This window comes from Homo sapiens, chromosome 4 (assembly GCF_000001405.40).
Source record: "Homo sapiens chromosome 4, GRCh38.p14 Primary Assembly".
Lineage (NCBI taxonomy): Eukaryota > Metazoa > Chordata > Mammalia > Primates > Hominidae > Homo > Homo sapiens.
In genome coordinates this window covers 21,748,632-21,770,534 of record NC_000004.12, presented here as the reverse complement: position 1 = coordinate 21,770,534, position 21,903 = coordinate 21,748,632, and the positions used below count along the sequence as shown (strand labels likewise).

At 37.8% G+C, this 21,903-nt stretch overlaps 1 protein-coding gene across 3 annotated transcripts in view; it reads left to right on the top strand.

Annotated features, from left to right (window-relative positions):
* Positions 1-21,903, top strand: part of KCNIP4 (potassium voltage-gated channel interacting protein 4) — a 1,220,167-nt gene that overhangs the window by 178,238 nt on the left and 1,020,026 nt on the right. Inside the window, exon 2 of one of the 3 annotated variants that reach the window (NM_147182.4) lies at positions 7,503-7,614. The exons of the other annotated variants lie outside the window; for them this stretch is intronic. The gene's annotated coding sequence lies outside the window, so the exon portion shown is untranslated. The remainder of the gene's footprint in view (positions 1-7,502; positions 7,615-21,903) is intronic. 3 annotated transcript variants of the gene reach the window in all.

Genomic DNA, 21,903 nt, shown 5'->3' with positions numbered 1-21,903 from the left:
CAGTATGGTGATTCCTCAAGGATCTAGAACCAGAAATACCATTTGACCCAGCAATCACATTACTGGGTATATACTCAAAGGAATATAAATCATTCTGCTATAAAGACACATGCACACGGTATGTATTTACAATAGCAAAGACATGGAACCAACCCAAATACCCATCAATGATAGACTGGATAAAGAAAATGTGGTACATATACACCATGGAATACTATGCAGCCATAAAAAGGAATGAGGCCATATCTTTTGCAGGGACATAGATGAAGCTGGAAGCCATCATCCTCAACAGACTAACACAGGAATGGAAAACCAAACACCACGTTCTCACTCATAAGTGGATGTCGAACATTGAGAATACATGGACACAGAGAAGGGAACAACACACACCAGGGTCTGTTGGGGGTTAGGGGGTGAGGGGAGGGAACTTAAAGGAAAAGTCAATAGGTGCAGCAAACCACCATGGCACATGAATACCTGTGTAACAAACCTGCATGTTCCGCACATGTATCTTTCTTTTTTTTTAGAAGAAATAAATAAGAAAAAGACAACCTTCTGGTATGAATTGATTGGCAGCTGGCCAAGCTGCCCTCCTCCTAGGTCCCATTCTCATTTTAGTAACCTCACAATAATAGAAGTCTGCTTCTGTTTGTGGTTGAATTTTATGGTGAGTTTTATTTGATGTAAAATATGATTTTTGCTTTTTATTGACGAACAGAATTTATAAGTGTGGAATGCTATGGAGGAGAGATGGCTAGCCCATTAATAGACATAATAAGGGATTCCTTATAAAGTCCTCAAAATATTTTGCACGTCAGTGTCATAAATTCCTATAAGTACAGAAAAAACAAATGGTGTAATGTGATAATGACTCATAGATCAACCTTCAGTCTCATGCCAGGCAACTTAGTGAACTGCCACAGGAAAAATATCTAGATAAAATCTTCTTGCATGACAGAGGGAATTCGAACAGTTTCCTTCAAGATAAAATAATGAATAATTCTAAGAACAAGGAAGTTATTTCTAAACATAAAACCACAGGCAAACCACATGAAGGAAATAACTGATGTAATTGACTAAATCAATACTGAAAATGTCTATTGTTAAAAATACCACAAATGAAATCAAATAATATATGACCAGCAAAAGTATTTGGAACATACATGAAAAGTGATTACTTCCTCTTTTATACAAACACTAAAATAGAAAACCTGGCAGAGGGACATAAGGCATTTTAGAAATGCAAAAATAGAAACGGTTAATAGATATGAATATAAATGTTCACTCCCAATAAAATAAATATAAATGATAAAAGTATCCAGTTTTCCTTCAGGATATGATTGGAGTAGTTTTTTTTAAAATACTTAAAAGGAGGAGTTGATGACAGTGTGGAGAGAGTAGCACTTTTATAGGAGTGTGAATTCGTATAGACTTCTGGAGGTGAACTTGTCTGTACATGTCAAAGGCCTTCCCATTTTGAAGTCCTTTGATGTACTAGCTATATTTCTAGTAATATTTCATATAGCTTAGAGCTGAGTATAAGGTTTTAAAACGAGGATATTGCTACATCAAACAAATAACAAAAAAAATTGAAAAAAATTCCAAATGTTTGAAAATAAATTGACATATGATTACATGTAATGTATCCAACAAATAATTATTAAATGACATCACATTTGATTTTAGATGATAAACATCATATAACCCAATTGTGTGTTCTTGAAGGCTGTATACCAGAGATTATCTCTGGGAGATGGAAATGCAGCATCTATTAATTCCTTATTTGTGTTTTCTATATTTTAATGGTTATATAAAATTTTGTACCATGAGAAATAATTAATAATTGCAAATGTGAAGGAAACTTTCTTAAAACTTATAAAAATCTGAGAGTGTAACACCAACTAAGAGTGGATGTGTATAGATTTCTCATTTATAAAAATAAAGTTTGGTGCTTACCAGCAGGTGGCAGTACAAAACAAGCAGTGAGAAATCCTTTGTAAACAAAGGTACCTCAAGACTGAAAATGAGGAGCGAGACTTGGGAGTGAAGCATTTCTCTTTTTCCTTGATATGCAGAATTGTAACCACAACACCAAGGTGAAGCCCTGCTTTATAATCATTTGGGTACTTAAATCGGAATTTACCTTAAAATATTAACGTACTCAGAGGTCAAAAAGTCAAGCAAAGCACTCCTGCAGGAGTTTCTGGTACTGTTTAGAGAGAGAGCAGAATCTATACTTCACATGCTTACATACTTATTTTATTATTATTAGTTATCAATATAGAATTGATGATTTTTGTGTTAAGATGCATACTGTATCCAAAATCCTAGGTCTTAAAAAGCTCTCTAAAATGCTGTTTAGTCCATCTAATTATTTTACTAAATATTTGTTTTAATCACAAATCATAAATTTAGAAGCTCTTGCTTGGCGGTTTATCGGCACTAGTTGGTGGTGTAACTGAGATTGATATCCATGTCTGTCAATTTCCCTTTAAGGAATGATGTGTATAATAAGAGCAAATTCTTGGAAGTTTTGTCTTCAGCAAGGATCAGTTTTGAAGTTAGAAGAATGGCTTCTCTTCTTCCTTTAGGGGATTTTGTTGGCTTTCTTAATTGACATTTTATCACTTTTCCCATCTTTAATTTATTTAACCAGAACCAAGAGCTCTGTCAATACTGAAATAGATATGTCGGTGGTAAGTTTGGTTGCTTTGGCACTTACAACTATTTGATGCTTGCTTTCAGGTAGTAGTGTGTATGTTTTAAATCCATTTCTGAATCAAATTCTGTGCTTATTAGGTCCCCGCTGTGTATATTTTTCTCTATGGCAAGAGAAAAACAGTTATTTAACGTTTTATATATTTCAGGATATGTAATTTTTTGTAAGTTTTCTTTCATTACAGACTTGTAAGGATTTTAATAACTGTATTTTGAAATAAAAATAAGCTAAAAAAAGCTAATTAACCCCAAAGAGGTTAATTAAACTCAAGGTCATAGAACCTAAAAGTATTGCATAATTGGCAATAAAGCCAGCTGCCGTTACCATTCTATTCTTAGCCATCGACCTCTCTCACCTGTCACTCCATCTGCTTCCTAACCCCATCTCCTTGATTTCTCTCTGCACTGCCTCCCCACCCCACATCCCTGAGTCAAGTTTCCACAGAGCCATGGAAGTATCCTTTAAACATGTATCAGCTCTGCCCCACCCTGCTCTGAACCCCCACATAGATTCCCATCATTCTTGCAATAAGTCTCCCTCACTCTCAACAAGGCATTTCAAGCTCTGTGTGATCTGACTGTCTCCTCCTCCAGTGTCTTCTGGTATCACTAGTCCTTGCTCGTTGGGCTCCAGTTATAATGGCCTTCTCATTCTTTCATAAAGCAAATTCCTTTCTAAAGCTTTAATGCATTAAGTCTTCTCCCTAGTTCTCTTCCTCACCTCTTCTCAGATGTTGCTCTGCAAAGAGAGATTCCCTGACTCCCTTTCTTGTGTTCTCTTTGTTTTTCTTCATTGCCATGATCACTACCTGACACTTGATCTCAAATCATTGTTTCCTTGTGCATTTTCTGTTTCTTTCACTAGAATGCATTCCCCAAGAGGACAGGGTCTTTGTTGTGATCACTGCTATATTTCAGTACCTAAAATAATGCCTGATAGGTGATAGACACTCAATGGATTTGTAATTACACAAGTGAATGAATGAATAAATAAAACACACACTTTCTGACTCTCAGTCCATGACTATGCTGGTCAGTTTAACAAAGAGTGAAATAAGTTTATTGTTAAGAGATGCCAGACTTTGAAATAAGTACATTAATTAGGGCCCTCCCTGCCTCGTATATAAAATGAGATGATAATAATAATCTTTATTTTACCTACCTTATGAAATTGTGGGAAGACTGAAAAGGAAATTGTTTTCATAAGAACTTTTTAAACTATGAGAAATTATGCAGATCATTGTTGTTAGAAAATTTTAGGTTCACCAGTCGAGGAAATTCGCTTTATGCCAACAGTGATAGCAGCAGAGGGAAGCCTGGGAAACATTTATTTTAAGACTGTGGGGAGGCAAGGGGAACAGAGATTGGAAGCCCAGGATTTTGAAGACAAATGAACTTGCATGTGAGTCCCAGCTCAAACTCTTACAATCGAGTAATCCTTGTGCAAATTATTTGAACTCTCTGACCCTTAGTTATTCTTGCATAAAGTGGGTAAGGGAAACTGTCTCAAGGGTTATTATTGAGATAGTAAATGAGATCGGTATACGCCAAGTGCAGTGCTACCTTCTTATGGAAAATAGGATGGCCTAGAATAAACCTTGTAGAACCCCAATAATTACTTTCTCACATTTGTTAAATAATGTATTGTTCAGGCCACCACCTGCTCCGTTAGCAGGAAGACATCTGAGTTTTCCTATTCTTCCACCTTCTTCTGCATTCCTGTGTAATTCAAGAGCCCTGACTCAGAGAGCGTTAATCAGGTGTTTTAAAAGCCAAGGGAAGAGAAATCTACAATCCTGGTCCACTGCTGCTATGACACATTATTACCACATGGTGCCGCTATTGCAGATGGCTCCTTTCTAATCTAATGGCCGCTTAGTTTACTGTATGCCTTTTCCTAAGTATCTTTGCTCTTGGGCTCTGGGATTCCTTGATCTGTCTCTCTCTTTCTGTCCTCACATACACATCTTCAGTTTGTTTTTTTTTTTTTTTTTTTTCACGGCCTGGTGCTAAGATCTCTGGGTCCTGAGGGATTCTGTGGAAGGAACCCTCAGCCAGGCAGGTGGCTTGCATCTGTAATCCCAGCTACTAGGGAGGCTGAGATGGGAGGATCACATGAGGTCAGGAGGTCAAGACCAGTCTGAGCAATAAAACAAGACCCATTTATATGTATTAACACAAGAAAAAAAAGAAAAGAAAAAGAAGACGGAGCCCTGTTTCTGACCCCAGAGTCCATCTTTAAGCTCAAGTCACCATCCTGATTCCATGTCCCTCCAGGGGAACAATTCCTCTCTTTCAAACAGCCCCTAACTCAGAAATTGACCACTTTTCCCCCAGGGAGCAAGTCTGCATAAAAAAGGGATAAAACAGTTTTTGTTAAGCAACATGGACACATGCGCACACAGTTACACACGCTCACACACACAGTCATTTACCATTGCCTTCTCCTGGAGCAGTGGGTACCATTAACATAGTTAATAAGACCACTCCAGTGGCCCAATAAAACAAAAAGGATTAGATTCTGCCCTAGATACTTGGGATGCTGAGATGGGAGGATCACTTGAGCCCCGGAGGTCGAGGTTGCAGTAAGCTGAGATCGCATCACTCCATTCCAGCCTGGGTGACAGAGCAAGACTCTGTCTCGGAAAAAAAAAAAAAGGTTCTCTTCATAATAAAACAATGACAAAAAGCCATTGCACTTCCCATTTTAAATTCGTACTAATATTATTATTATTTGACTGTTGTAGCCACAGTGTATACTCCCTGAGAGTAGCTCAATTTAATTTGGGGAGGAAACACTAGGCTCCATCCCAAGTTGACATGGCTGTGATATGGGTCTCATAGAGCCTCTCCTCCAATACACAGCTTTTAATGAGAAGAGCAAAGGGCTTATGAATTGAACTTCCATGGAAAATCTTCTTCTCCTGACTCTTCAAACACCTCTCTTCAATGCCTGTACACTCCACATCTCCCCTCCAGCTAGTCTGGGGGTTGGAGGAGGCCTGAGGACTTCCCAGTCCTAAGGAGCACAAAGGATAGCAGACAAGCAAAAAAGGACAGGGAAGTAGGTCCCTTAGTCTTGCTCTCATCTGAGCCCTTGGTGGAAAGGGCAGAAAAGATTTCTAAGCCTCCCTATGGCCCATTCCTTCCAGGGATGTGGAGCAAAAGTCCAGTATTAAAGAGCAAAGCCATCACCACCCTCTCATGTCTTCTGGGAGACATGCATTAGCTGGCAGTGGTTTATATAGTCCGGTTTCTGATCCTGACCAGACATAATTAATCATCACCAACTATGGGTACCAATATGACACACCTTGTTTCATTTTTATATAAATATTTCATTGAAAACAAATGCCCCAGTGTCATGATATAGCCCAAGGCTCACTCTTCTTCCACTTTCTCTCCAAGTTGAACTAGCTCATTTATGAACTTTCTGGTTGGACTTTTCTTATTTCTCTTCTGAGTTGCAAACTTTGCACATTAATTGGCACTGACTCAGTACTACCACCTCTAACATCTTTACCTTTTCTGTTCTGAACTTCAAAGTTTGTCTCCCTGGCTGGTGTTATGGCCACATTCTGAGAATTGCCAGTCTGTACCCTCTGTATCCTCCACGCAATTGTCTGAAATCATTTACTTGTTATCTCCAGCCATTATGGAAAATGCCTGCTTATCATGCATATATGATTTCCCTTTCTGCAGGTCTCTGAAGCTTCTATACTAAATTGAATTTCTTCTTACTGCTTTCCTTCTATTGTTCTGGCTTTACCATACTGTTCATTACTAAAATACATAATCACATTTAGACCAAATGATCTAATTGCATAAATTTTCTTGTGATCTGGAGTTCCTGGCACTGAAACCCATTTCCTAGCAAACCTATTAAAACTCCCAGGCTGCTTCCAAATTCTGTGTGTTGGCTGAGGGTTCCTTTTTCAAAGCATAACAAGCAAACCTGAGAATTTTTACAATTTCAGATAAATCAGTGATTGTTTTTCTTGCTTTTGTCACATTCATTTTTCAACAAAAAGGAAGATGTATATAACAAGACTGAAATGAAAAATTTAGCATATACAGTGGAAGAAGCATTCTACTTATGTTATTTAATCCTCAGAATAACTGTGCTGGGTTTTCTTTATTTCCTTTTGCTGAGAAAGTTGAGATTCAGAAAAGAGAAATAACTTGCTCAAGGTTAACCAGCTCAGGGGACAGACCCAAGCTATTATATACCTACCATTGCCAGCTAATGCCCTGGCTCTCAGAAGACACTCTAGAATGGCACATTTACCCTTTAATACTAGCTAAGGCTTTTCTCCACACTTCTGAAGACATTGTTGTTTTTATTAGCCAGTAGAATCATGTTCAAAATTCTATCCAGTTCTTTTTATTCAGTAAAAGAAAAAGAAAGGAATGATTAAACCTTCATTATGGAAAGAGATAAAGCCAAGTGTATTTGTTAGTTATAACTAGGCTAAGCTAGTTGCCCGTTTTGTCTCTATGTATATAACCATAATCACCAGCACCTTGTGTGTAATAAGCACCGGATGGCATGTGCCTATTGTGTTAGAGGAATGCACAGCCGTGGGCTTTGTTTCTTATGACACGCAGACTGCAGCTATATTTAAAATGATAATCTGGGCAATGTTCTTCACATTTTGTTTGTGTGAATTCAACCACAGTGAAGGAATTATTGTCTGGTGAACCTGTGCTCGTTGTTAGGAATGCATTCCTGAGTGTCCTGACGAGGAAATTAGGCAAACTGTGCATATGTCCATTCAATCTAGAAGCGGTTATTGAGCATTCGCTGTGTACCAAGTGCTGTCCTTGACAAGAAGACTTACACCCAGTGGTCCCAGAGGGAGACTTCGGAAGTGGGAGCACCTGTCAGATCATCATGTGAGTCCTTCCCTCCAATTCCATCCACCTACACCCCCCTCCCAATCTTCTGGGATTCTCCTTTCCTTTCTCACACTTATATATACACATTCTTCATGTGAACATTTATTCAGATAAAGAAGAGTCATGACTGGAAGATGGTTTTGATGACTCGTGGAAGAGTCTCGTTGACCCAGCCCACTAATGACGCTGGTAAAGTGTTTAAATGTTGTCTTGTAGATGCCATCTTTGGTTATGATGGTTGGCTTTAACACTAAAGAATAAAATAAGAGTGGTGTCCTTGCTGGTTTGTTTTATGTTTGCAGATGAGGAACAGTACCCTTGGCTTTTTTCCTGAGATTCGTCTAACTAACAGCAACCAGTTCTGCTCAAAATTAATTTTGTTAGTATTTTATAAGTTAAAGGCAGCCCAGATTTATTGAGCCTAGCAGTGTACTAGGCAATGGGGAAAATATAAAATAAGGAAACTTGCACATAAGAAATGGGAAAAACATAATGAGAAAAGACAACAATTTCTAATCTTCTTTGTTTCATTTCAATGCAATGCTGTCCTTTAGGGTAGTCACAAGCCACATATGGCTAACGAGCACCTGAAATGTAACTGGTCCAAATTGGGATGTGTGGTAAAATAATAATGTGAAGTAGATCATGAATAATTTTTTATGTTGATTGCATGTTGAAATAATATTTTGAATATATTGAGTTGAATATATTATTAAATTTAATTTCACCTGTTTCTTTTTACTTTATAAAATGTGGCTAATTGAAAAATAAAATTATATATGTGGCACATATTACTTTTTAAAATGTGGCTACTAGAAAAATAAAATTACATATGTGGCACATATTATATTTTTGTTAGAAAGTGTCATTGTAATATTTCCACTAGTCATATTGGGGATTATATGATAATATAGTGTATAGTGATTTATAATATGATTTTTCACATTTAAAATTATTTCATTAAATATTTTTCTCAAATCATGATATTTGTATAGCCACCTTGGATGTTATCATAATTATCCCATCATGGAAGTGTTGAGTTGTGTGTATAACTAGGACTTCCTGTTCCGCATCATTTAGCCATTTAGACATTTAGGTCATTTGCAATTTGCAAAGTAAGGAATTTTTTTTTAATGTTGTTAAACAATACAATTTTCCCCTCTCTTCCTCTATAGGAGTAAATTTGGAAAAAATAAATATGGAAGAAATAATTAAAAATTAATTTTGTTATAAGAAACACTTTTAATATTGTGGTATATTTATTTTGAGAGTTTTTTTTTGCTTTTTTGTACTTGTTTTACAAATTTATGTTAATATTATATATTGCATTTTAATTATTTTTATGTGAACATAAGAATTGTATGTTTTAAATTTAGTTATAAGATGGTTGTAAAAAAAAGAGAGAGAGGTCATTGTAATGTCTGTATAGTGTTCAACTGAGTGAATATGTTATTTTTCTCTGCTACTGGCCTTATAGATTTAATCAAATTTTGAATAATTACAAATAATTCATTATTTTTTCTCCAAATTTTAGATTATTTGAATTTCTTCATCAAACAGGCCTCAGATGGGCATTTACAAAAAAGTACACAAAGAAGGACTGTCTATCACACCTTAGTAACCACCAGGGTTCAATTTAGAAGTTATATTGTTGAAAAGGTTATAGATAGGTCTTGTAGTACCAGCTACTTGAGAAGCTGTGGCAGGTGGATCACTTGAACTCAGGAGTTTGAGGCTATAGTGAGTTATGATCATGCTACAGCACTCCAGCCTGGGCAACAGAGTGAGACTCATCTCTCAAAAAATTATTAGAGGATGTTCTTAATAAAGTACATAATTAAAGGAGAGGTACACACTCTCCTTTCAACCTATTCTTATAGTCAGTTTTTACAAGTGCAAAACGTTATTTAATTTTATGAGATTTATAAGTTCTTTCTCATATGAGCAAAATATCAGACTCATAAGCACCTAGAACAGTGCCTGCCATGTAGTAGTTGGTGAATGAATATCTGTTAAATGAATACACTTAGCTTATTAAGATATGTTTTGGTCATTCCATGCTGGTCTTGCTATAGAATGCATTGGGAGTGTGGATGGAAAATAGTGGAAATGGCATCCATGACCATTCTGTGGCTACCCTTAAGCAATTTGTTTGCTTTGCAAAGCTATAAATAATAGAAATATTTAAAATTTTAGCTTTTTAATACTTGACAGAAATTTAGAGAGGATTTCTAATCCTCTGTAATTGATTATGTACTTGATTTACAGAGGAGAAAACAGCCATGGAGCTACTTGTGTATTCAGATTGATTCAGAAAAGGCCTAGAAGTCAGGCCCTGGGGTTCCGAATTCTGCATTTCACATTGCCATGCTGCCAATAGAACACAAATATTTTAATAAAGTCAGTCTCTAAAACCCATAATTTGCCTGTTTTATTGAACAAATTTAGAATTTTACTTTAATAAAAACATGAACATGTATCTAATTGAAGGTTGAATTTAAGCCAAGTTTTTCATTGTTAATAATTAGCAGCATGAATTTGTAGGCGTGGGATTGGGCGTTTTCCCTCATTTTCTTGGCATGGTTATTACCAGGGTTTTTCTTGTGCTGACATGCTTTATTATTAGCATCAGCAGAGCACTCAAGATTTGCAGTCATTCATGGAACCACTAGATTCTAGTACCTGAGCTTAGTTAAGTTTAGGCTCTGGAAGTTAAATGTTAAGAAAGGAAGCTTTGAGGGGAAGGAGTAGCAAGGGAGATAAGTTTTCAGCAAAGAAAACCATGAGTAATTGAGCTGCACGGCAACATTATGGGTGAGAACATCATTGTTCATATTTATATTCAATATTTCTATTTGTAGGATGCTGTTCTTGAATATGAGAGCAGCTGAATAGAGTAGTTGGAGACCTGTAGTTCTTTCTTTATCAGTTAGCTATAACAGAATATTTATGTCAATGAAAATAGAAAGAAGAGCAAAGACATTGAGAGCAGAAATCTAAAGGAGCAGTATATTAAATTCAAGCAGAGGTGAAAAATGAGGACTTTGACTTGTGTTATAATTCCGTTCCTCCTGTATCCACAGCCATGTTTAGACAGGAATTTAATAGCAGTTTACAAGGACAGGTGGCAAGATAATGGCCATGAGAATTTTGGAACGTAGGTTGTCATTCCAGGTCTACTGCTGTGTGACCTCAGCAAAATAAATTTATGAAGACTTCAGACTGCCCTGAAGTCAGGTCGGAATTGAGAAGCTGATACCAGGTTAATAGGTCTCCTCTTCCACACCTCAGTATAGAAATGACTTCCCAGATCTCAGGGTCAAAGACATATTCAGGGTCAGTTAAAGAATAAAAAATGTCCTGATCAATTTCTGATGTCTATGAAAAGTAGCATGATTACTGTTCTTAGGTTCTAGGATTCTTTGACTACAAAGATTTCTATGTCCTGCTATATGGTAAAACCAAGAATATTCAGTTGAAGATGTTCATTTCTTTTTCACTTGGCAATAAGTTCAAATTACTTTTGTGATTTGTTAAGGACACATGAAATGCAGCCAATGTTGATTGAAGAGGCATGTGGTGATAATTGAACTCAATTTTAAGAAATGCATAAATTAAAAGAGCAATCAAAATGGGCAAAATTATACAAAGCAAGTGTTCCTATTCACTGATCATATCACTGTGTTGACACATTTAATCAATATATTAAAATCTCCAGAAGATAAAAAATGGTTCACATAATTGTTCTATTAGGGAAGATTTTCATGGGAACAGCTTAGTTCAACATATTTCTAAGTCAATGATCTTTTCTCTCACAGTGGTCTATGAGCCTGTGAGTAGTAATTCATGATGTCAATGTCATGAGTAATACTAACAAGGAGCACTTATTGAGTTTGCTCTTTGCCAGAACCCATTCAAAGTGGTTTCTACAACTCAGTTAATTTCTCACACAAACTTGATAAGTAGGTATTATTATTATTATTATTGTTATTATTATCCTTATCTTACACATTAGTACACTGAGGCTCAGAGAAGTCACACATCTTACCCAAGGTCACATTGCAAGTGGGCAGTGGAGGTTTTAACCAGGATATTTCTCTACTGCTGATAGTGACAATAATTACCATTTGGAGGTTCTCTTCTGCATCACAGACTCTGGCAGAAGCAGCCCATATATGGCTTTGTTTCATGGCTGTTTTACAGATGGGATAAGTAAGGCTTAGGGTGCCTAGATAATGAGTCCACTATCACCCACCCAATAAGTCTTATGGCTGGGAATCTCTAATTCCAAAGACCAAGATGGATTCACCACTTATGCAACTGTGGATGTCCCTTTTGTTACAAAGAACAAAGTATGCCTATTAAAATCTGAATCCCATTTATTACATGGGTTTAGAGAAATGATGGATTGCAGGAAGTGAAAATGCATCTTGAGTAAGCATGTGCCAAAGTCCTGCAGAAAGTCTGCACAGGGTGCAGGTCGAAGCTCAAACCTTACTTCCTCAAAGAGACATGTGGGGGTCACCCTGTTTTTAAGGCACTTTCCAAACATGCACTCTCCCACAAAACCATACACACATCTTCAGTTACTCTATTCACATTATTTTGTTTTATTGTCTTCAGAGCATTGACATTGCCTTGTCTATTCTTTACCAGACATAGTTTCATGAGAACAGAGAGGTTGTTGGTTTTATTCACCTCTGTATCCCCAGTACCTAGAACAGTATATAGGACACAAATTGCACCCCAAAACTTTAATTGAATGAATGATTTCGCTTATTGTTTTTATTATAAATATCAATAGCAACAATTTTTATTGACTGGTTTCCTGTGTTCCTTTCTTTGCAGTAAGTATGCATTTTCTAAATTTATTTCTTACAGTAAAATTAGGGAGTTGGTCTTATTGTCATACCCATTTTGCAGATGTGAAAAATAAGGCATACTAAGGTCAAATTACTTGCATAAGGACACAAACCTAGTAGTTAGGAGTCACACACCAACGCATGTCTTTTCATCTGCATGGACTATACTCTTACACCCAATACTCAGCTCACCTGTGGCTACAAAAAGTTCTGAACAGTTCTATCTTTTCATTGGTTGATTTTCCCAAGACGTCATTTATGTGGCTTCATCGCTAACTTTGTAGACAAGATTTAAATTCAATGAACACTTATTGAATGGGGTCATAGATTGGGTGGCAGGCATCACCAGTTCTACTTTACAAGGGCAAAAAAGGAAGTTCAAATAAATGATATTTTTGTTGCTAGAAATTGGTAAAGCCAGAATATAAACTCAGGACTGTTGATTCCAAGTCTCTGGCTCAATCTGTAATAAATGGTGAAGACGTCTCTAAAAAAGAAAAATAGCATTCTCAGCCATGTATTTCCTAACCAGCATTTTCAAATTGCATATAGAGAGGAGGCATTACATCATGATAAATATTGTGATTCTTTTGCTAAGTGCTCTCTTGGGACAGATAATATCTGAACATAGATACTTGATCATTATTTAGTCCAAACCCACATGTGAGCTTACGTTCTCTGTTGTCAGAGATCTAACCCACACAAAGAGGTATCCTGAATGATTTTATGATAGTTTCTTTCTTTCTTTTCTCTTTTCTTTTCTTTTCTCTTTTCTTTTCTTTTCTTTTCTTTTCTTTTCTTTTCTTTTCTTTCTTTCTTTCTTTCTTTCTTTCTTTCTTTCTTTCTTTCTTTCTTTCCTTCCTTCCTTCCTTCCTTCCTTCCTTCCTTCTTTCTTTCTTTCTTTCTTTCTTTCTTTCTTTCTTTCTTTCTTTCTTTCTTTCTTTCTTTCTTTCTTTTTTTGAGACAGGACTCTGTTGCTCAGGCTGGAGTGCAGTGGCTGGCTGGATCTCAGCTCACTGCAACCTCCACCTCCCAGGTTCAAGCGATTCTGCTGCCTCAGCCTCCCAAGTAGCTGTGATTACAGGTGCCTGCTACCACACCTGGCTAATTTTTGTATTTTTAGTGGAGATAGGGATTTCACATCATGGCCAGGCTGGTCTTGAACTTCTGTCCTCAAGAGATCTGCCTACCTCAGCTTCCCAAAGTGCTGGGATTACAGGCGTGAGCCACTGCGCCTGGCCTATTTTCTCTAAAAGCGAGTTTTACATTTGCTTTTCAATATCATGAAATGACAAGTGGCAAATTTCAGGAGTGTTCATTGATTTTTCTTTCAGGATAAATAATTTCAGAAGTAATTCAGAGATATCAAGGTAGATTTGTGCCCCTTTTAAAGTGGTTACATAGTTACTAAGCTAATATACATTTGGACTTCTTCCATCTGAGAAAGAGAGAGGCTGCAGTTGATAGATATTTCTCTCTCTCTCTCTTTTTTTTTTTTTTTTTGAGACAGAGTCTTGCTCTGTCGCCAGGCTGGAGTGCAGTGGTGCAATCTTGGCTCACTGCAACCTCCGCCTCCTGGGTTCAAGCAATTCTCGTACCTCAGCCTCCAGAGTAGCTGAGATTACAGGCACACACCACCATACCCGGATAATTTTTGTATTTTTAGTAGACATGGGGTTTCATCATGTTGGCCAGGCTGGACTCTGTCTCATGACCTCGTGACCTGCCCGCCTCAGCCTCCCAAAGTGGTGGGATTACAGGCGTAAGCCACTGTGCCCGGCCAACAGATATTTCTTATAATACTTCAACTATTTTAAAACCAGCACGTAAACAAACATACGAAGACTAAAACCATCTAAAGATCTAAACTGGCCAAATAGAACAAGGAGAAATGTATCTGCATTTCTTTAGGAATTGGGAAAGAAAAAGAGAAATAAAAATCCATGTTTTTAGCTATAAAGTATCAGTTGATATTTCTTTAGGGAGACTAAAACTTTTCAGTTTTCAAGCAAATATTCTGATTCTAAAAAAGGAGTTGGGCTGATAAAATTAAAAATGTGTTGCGTGACTTATGTTGTTTCAGAGGTGATAGAGCCATTTATAGTTTCTAATAAAATCTAAGGGAAAATGCAATTTATTATATCAATACAACCATAACACAAGAAAAGATCATTACTGCCCTATCAGCAACTATAGAAATTGTGACAAACTAAATATGTAAGACCACATCTGAGCTAGAACATCAGTCACTTTTTTTTGAAAACAATATTAATACCAAGTGTTTGATGAATATGGGCAGAATGTTACCAATACTTTTATTAAAGATATTTGATTAACTACAGGTTTTTTTTCTTCCAGATATTTGACCAGTTAAGTGGCTTCTCTATCCATGCTTGGGAAGTCCATTAGTTATGTCTAAATAAATGTATGGGTGCCACTATACCTCCTTCCACAGCCTGATCAATTGATTGGTATGAGCAACAGCAAGTAAACACATTTAATACATCTTCCCTGGGATTAGGGACCATTGTTCCTGACTGTCACTAGCCCCTTGTCCTTCAGTTTCAGTTGCCCCGGGGGTAAGTCTGCCTGTTCCTTTGTGATGTGCAGCGCTGCTGTTTTTAGGCATTAATAGATGCATAACTGAAACCTAATTTTATTTGTCCATTTGCTTAGGACTTATTAGAGTAAGTAACTAAATGAGTCATTCATTTAACTTAAAGTTTTGCCAGAAACGTTACATTTATTATCTAATTTCCTTCTGCCAACCACCTTGGTGGGTAGGCCTCAGCCCTACCTTATAGATATGAAAGTTGAGGTTGAGAAGGTGAATGAATAACTACTGGCAGAGACAGCCTATCCATGCTCGACTCTAAAGCTTTTATTCTTTCCATGTTCTTTCTTTCTATTTCTTTTTGAGACGGTGTCTTGCTCTGTCTCCACTGGAGTGAAGTGGCGCCATCTGCTACCTCTGCCTCTGGGATTCAAGCAAGCAATTCTCCTGCCTCAGCCTCCCGAGTAGCTGGGATTACAGGCACACATGACCATGCCTGGCTAATTTTTGTATTTTTAGTAGAGACAGGGTTTCTCCATGTTGGCCAGGGTGGTCTTGAACTCCTGACCTCAGGTGATCCGCCCACCTCGGCCTCCAAAAATGCTGGATTACAGATATGAGCCACTGTGCCCGGCCCAAAAGCACATATTTTTATGTTAACTCTGCACAAGATAAAACTGTCCTAAATTTTATTCTGAAGTTTTTCAGAATTACGTTTGTAGTTTTGTATTTTTATCTTTATATGTTGTTTAGTGGCATTTCTTCTATTCAGTGTCTTCATCCCATCCTAGAGTTGACAGTTTAGGGAAGCTTCTACTATTAGACATGTTAAAGAAATGATTATTTGAAGTGGGACAATTTAGAGTAATGATCAAGAGGCCAGGCTTTCTGCTCCAGAAGACCTGGTCTGAGCCCTAGTTTCACTGCTTATGTATTGGGTGACTTTAGGCAAATTTCTTATCCTCCTTAAGTGTGAATTTCCCATTTGAAAAACAGGAATAATGGTCATACCTATTGCTTATGGTTATTTATGCATTAATTAATTCAACAAATATGTATTCATCTCCTATAATAAGCCAGATACTCAGCAATGAATTAACCAAGTTGGCTGCCCTGAAACACTTTATATTCTAGCAAGGAAAAACACACAGAAAAACTAATAAATAAATAAGCTTGGTCCGGTAGTGGTAAGGGCTGTATAGACAAATAAAGCAAGGTAGAGAGAGGTGGGTGTGGAGTGGTGGTAGTTGGAGATGGATATTTTTTAGAAGGAGAACTTTCCATTGTAAAGTGACAGTTGAGCAGAAACCTGAAATAAATTTTATTGAGCGAATTAAGAAAAAAACGACACAGAAAACCAAATTGAAGGTACAATGCTTTGTAAGATGGCTGCTGTGGAGAGATGCGAGCCCTTACTGCAGGCTTATTTTAAATCACTAGAATTCGAGCTCCCTAAGGAGGGCACACTTCTGTCTCATTCGTTGGTGCATCACAAGCATGCACAATGCCTGTTAGGTTCTCAGTACAACTAAGCTGTAGCTCTTGGAGTCTGTCTATTTCCTGGTGGGGATAGTAGGAGGAGGGGGTCAGTAGATGGAGAGAAGAAGCTGAGAGTGGAACAGGAATCTCCACGGTAGCAGTCACCTGCTCCACCTCATCAGAATGTCATCAGAGGTCTAGACCTAGATGGCTTTTGGGCATGGGCTTGACTATAGTTTCACAAAAGGCATGATGCTTCAATAAAAAGTTTTCTTGACAGCAGCTATGAAATCTACAGAAATAGCACAGGTCATGGCTTGAGATTCGAAGACGAGTCCGGGCTTCCCTACTAACCCAGTGAGGGTACATGGAGGGAAATGCACAACAGGACATTTAACCTGCATGAGCTGCCAGTCCTGCTGCAACTCACACATTCCATTCTGATTTGCTGTTGGCTTACTGGAAGTAACCTAGGGCATATTTTTTTAGAGACCAGGAAGAATTCTCTTTTCTTTTATTCATTCATTCAACTAATAGTGTCCTCAGCTCCTGGTTCCAAACTCTGCCTGAGGCATGAGATCTGAAAACTCATGCTATTTAAACATGGTATCTTCCATGAGGTCTGTGCTGTTTTACTTGGTGATACCCAATAGAGGTGATGGCCTCTAAAATAGCCCAAAGATAGCCAGCACTTAGTGCACCCAGAGATTGCCTGACAAAGCTGAATGATTTACAAAGCAGTCTCTTAAGTGAATTTGCTCCTGATTTACTTAGTGAACATTTTTTTTCTCTAAGACCTCAGATAGTGTGAAAAACCTTTGCAGATTATGCATGAGGAGCCTCACTACACTTTACCCTGCCCTGCTTAATTGCAGATCTTGGAAACACTCACTCAAACATGCCAGATATTTAACTGAACTTCCAATTCACTGTTGCTAAATTGCAAACATCCTTGAAAAACTGATAAACAGAAATGAGCTTCCAAGTGCCCCCAGAAAGGCACAATGCTTGGAAAAAAAGATAAAAAAAAACCCTCTAATTGCAGCAGCACATTTTATGGTCAATAAAGTATTCAATATGCTATGCAGCAGGGGTATCTCAACTGAGAGTCAAATAAAAATAACTGTGCATGTGATAGCTCAATGAAAAATTTCTTTTCTCAGCAAGAGATAAAAAATCTCAACTGTCTCCAGCCTGGCATATTTGGTGAATTGCTTGCACAAAAGAGAATGGGTGGGATTTAGCCTAGCTATAACAAAACAAAACAAAATCCTAGTAGCAGGCTCCTAAAGAAAGGCAGCATCTGATTCTACTTGGTTTGGGATTATTTACAGGAAGTCTTTCTTAAATATCAGTCCCAACCCTCTGACCTCAGAATTTTTCTTCCCAGGAAAGAATAGAATTTTTCTTTGTCTTCCATCCCTCCCTTTTTTTTCTTCCTCTAGTACCCATGTGATATGGTTAGGCTTTGTGTTCCCACCAAAATCTCATCTGGAATTGGAATCCCCAGGTGTTGAGGGAGAGACCTGGTGGGAGGTGGTTGGATTACGGGGGTAGTGTGCCCCATGCTGTTCTCCTGGTAGTGAAGTGAGCTCTCATGAGATCTGATGGTTTTACAAGGGGCTCTTCCCCCTTTGCTTGCTCACTCTCTCTTTCCTACTGACATGTGAGAAGGTACAAGCTTGCTTGCCCTTTGCCTTTCACCATGATTGTAAGTTTCCTGAGGCGCCCCCCTCAGCCATGCAGAAATGTGAGTCAATTAAACCTTTTTCTTTTATAAATTACCCAGTCTCTGATATTTCTTTATAGCAGTGTGAAAATGGACAAATAGACCATGCATCCATTCCTTCCACTATTTCTTAAGCGTATACATATATCACCTTCCAAGGCAGGTGCTAGTCAACATCTCTTCCCTTATAAAGTGGAGAAAAACAGAAAAGTATGAACAAAGCTTTGTGGAATCTCATATGAGAGAGCAGCTAACAGCCTTGGGGAGCTGGAAAAGGCAGCGCTGATCTATAACTTTTGATGCGTCTTGAAGGAGGAGGGTGTTTATACCACCTGCAGAACAGTAGAAAGACAGTTTCTATTAGTTTTGCTACCTTTTTATTTGAACTTCTTTTCCTTGGAGTTCATTCACTTCTTTCATATTGTGGCTATGCACATAATTATTGATTGTTCCATCAGATGTTGTTTTAATACTCATCCTCCCTAAGCCTTTTCTTCTTGGCTCTGCTTGCCTTTTCTCTACCTGTGTTCAACCCAGTTGTGATTTCATATAAATGTAAATTGATCTGAGCATTCCAGTTACATTTCTAAAACTTGGACACATTACCTGGCAGGCACAAATGTCTCTTTTTGAGATAAAAAGAATCAATGCATTTGCTTTTTGTAAAGCTTGTTATTATGAAAATTTCAAACGCAAACAAAAGAAACTGAATAGTACAATAGAGCTTATGCACCCTTTACCTAGCTTCAACAATTGTCAGCAATTTTCAAATCTTGTTCCATCCATTAATTTATTTGAGGAGGTCATATTTTAAAATGAATATTAGACATAATGCTTTTCTCCTGCAGATTCTTGAATATACATGTCCAAATGATAAGAATGTGTATATACATAAACACCATGTCATAACACCTAACACAATTAATAATAATCCTTTAATGCAATTTAAGATTCAGTTCATATATCCATATTTGCATTGCCTCAATTGTCTCAAGAAGTTTTTTAATTGTGTGTTTGTTTGCATACAATCCAAACAAAGTCTTTATATGGTATTTGCTGTTATGTTTTCCAAGTCTCTTTAAATGTGTAACACTAGCTCTGCCTCCTTTTTATTCAAGTCATTGATTTGTTTGAGAAAGGGGATGTTTGGTCTTTGGATTTGGCTGAGAGCTTCCTCCAGATGTCTTCACCCAGTCTCCTCTTCCCTACCTACCTCTGTAGAATTTCCATGAGATCAGGCTCAATTCATTTTTTGCAAGGCCTAAATAATCAAGACACCCCCTACGTCCTACAGTAGGACCCCCTACTTCCTACAAATGGACAGTCTTAAGTAAATATAGATGATTGCAGTCTTATCTAGCTAGGAGGTGCGGCAAACCCACTTAACTGTAGGGCTTTTATGTTGCCTAATGGAGTTGTGTGTTTGGGGCCAGGGCTGAATTGTTTGAAGCCATGTAGGAGAAATGGAATGCTCACATTAGTAGCCTACCTTCTCCACCTTCCCATTCTCCAGCCCACAGCTTCTCCGCGAAATAACTGTTGAGCACCTGGAAAATACAGTTTGTAAGGGCAATAGATTATTAGTCTTCTCAGGGCAATCACATGGTTTGAACTTACAGGTGCCTAGAATTAGATTAGGATGATATATATAAAAACTACTTAATTCTTGGTCCTAGTAAATGCTGAATAAATGGTAGCACTTGTTTTCAAAATATGTTTATAATTAGCCACTTTCCTCAAAGGATGTTCATGTTTCATTTACTTGTTAGTCAAACCATCATCAAGCTCAATCACTACACCCTCATTCCCAACCTAGCATCAGACCTAGAGCTGCGGAGGCATATTTGAGGGAACTGGAAATGCTGGTGTCACTCCAGTTTCGTGGATAGAAGATGTGTTCTTACCGTAGACTTTAGCTACCTCAGCATAAGTTTTTGTGTTCTTTATTAAGTTTAGAACTTTTACCTTTTCACTTTAAGGAAGCATTTTACAGCTTCTTTTTGGCATGTTTGAAATGCCAGCATCACTACTCTTGTGCTTTGGGCCACTGCTAAATAAAATAAAGGGTTTCTTGAACATAAGCCCTGTAATACTGAGACAGTAGATCTGATCACCAGTGGCTACAAAGTGATTCATGGGCAGGCAGCGTCTACAATGTGGAAACCCAGGACAAAAGGAGGATTCATATCCCTGGAGAGAGGGAGGAGGATGGGCACAAGATTTCATCATTCCACTCTGAAGGGCGTGTGATATAAAACTTACAAATGGTTTATTTCTGGAATTTTCTATTTAATATTTTCAGACCACCATTGACAGCTGGTAACTGGAACCACGGAAAGCAAAATTGCAGATAAGTGGTAACTACTGTATAGCTCCAGCCTCAGCCTGGAATTAAGTAACTTAGACTCTAAGTATGGAATATATAGTGATGAGACATAGTAAAAAGAAGCAAAGAGAAGAGCAAGGAACTCAGCATGAGGGTGTTTAGGCAAGGATCTCCGGCATGTGTGCTCCAAACAGGCATGCCCTGCTGTTCTTTCTACCCAAAGATGTGGAAGAGTGAAAGGGCCCTGACCCTCAGTGTGACGGCAGTATAGCACATGTGGAGGGCAGTGATGGGAGATGTGGATGTAGGGTAAGCACAGGTCCAAGAATGACGGGTCTCATTAGCTGAATATTGCAATGACTCATCCAGGATTGGGTGGGGATATGAACTTATGAATGGGGTTAGAGAGAAATTCCTAGGGCGGTGAATATTTTTCCACCATCACCACTATCTGCATGTCTGGGAATGGTGTCAAGTGGGGAGAGGGCAAAGCAGTGAGGAATTGGCACTTGCCACATTGGTCCTTCATTGGAACACAAAAGAAGACTGGAGAACAATGTAACCGTCTAGGTAGACCCACTGAAAGACAGCGATCATCGTGGAAACTAATTACCCAACATTGACAAAATGCTCCTAGGGAGTTGAGCTTTGGAGAAATTGTTTGCTGCAGTGAGTTTTGTTCACAACAACACCTTAGGTTTGGCATCAATTTTCCATTGAGAATGAGCTTGGAGACTTGCCTTCTGCTCTAATAGGGAGGAAAGCATGAACACCAGAAGCCTTCAACCCTTCTTCTATTTAATTTTGAAGACATGTTTGGATAACATCAATTCTTAGAAATAATGCTTGAAACAATTTGCCACATTATATTTTTATTGAATAAGGGGATTCACAATCAAGAGTTATACATTTAATATTCTGAATGGTACACCTAAGCTGTTACTTTAAGAATTGAGTAATTTATTCTAGTAGTTATTACAGCCTGGAATGTTATAAAAGCAGTATTGTACTGTGGTTATTACTTACATAACAGCAGTCAGTTTTCTTGCCTTTGATGCCACCCATCTACCATTTTTCTCAAATTGGATGGTGAATGCCATCAAAACCCAGGAACTGGACATTAGTGACAGGATTCTTTGTCCCTAACTTTTTATTTTTTTCAATCAGAAACACTAAAAAGCTGCCTTACCATGATCCGGGCTATCTATTTCTTTTCTTTGCCAGTTCAGATGACTACAAGTACAAGAGATGATTATTAATGACAGTACAACAATCCTAAAAATAACAGCCTCAGATTACACCCCTTCCAAAACATCCCTAATAATTCACCTGTGTG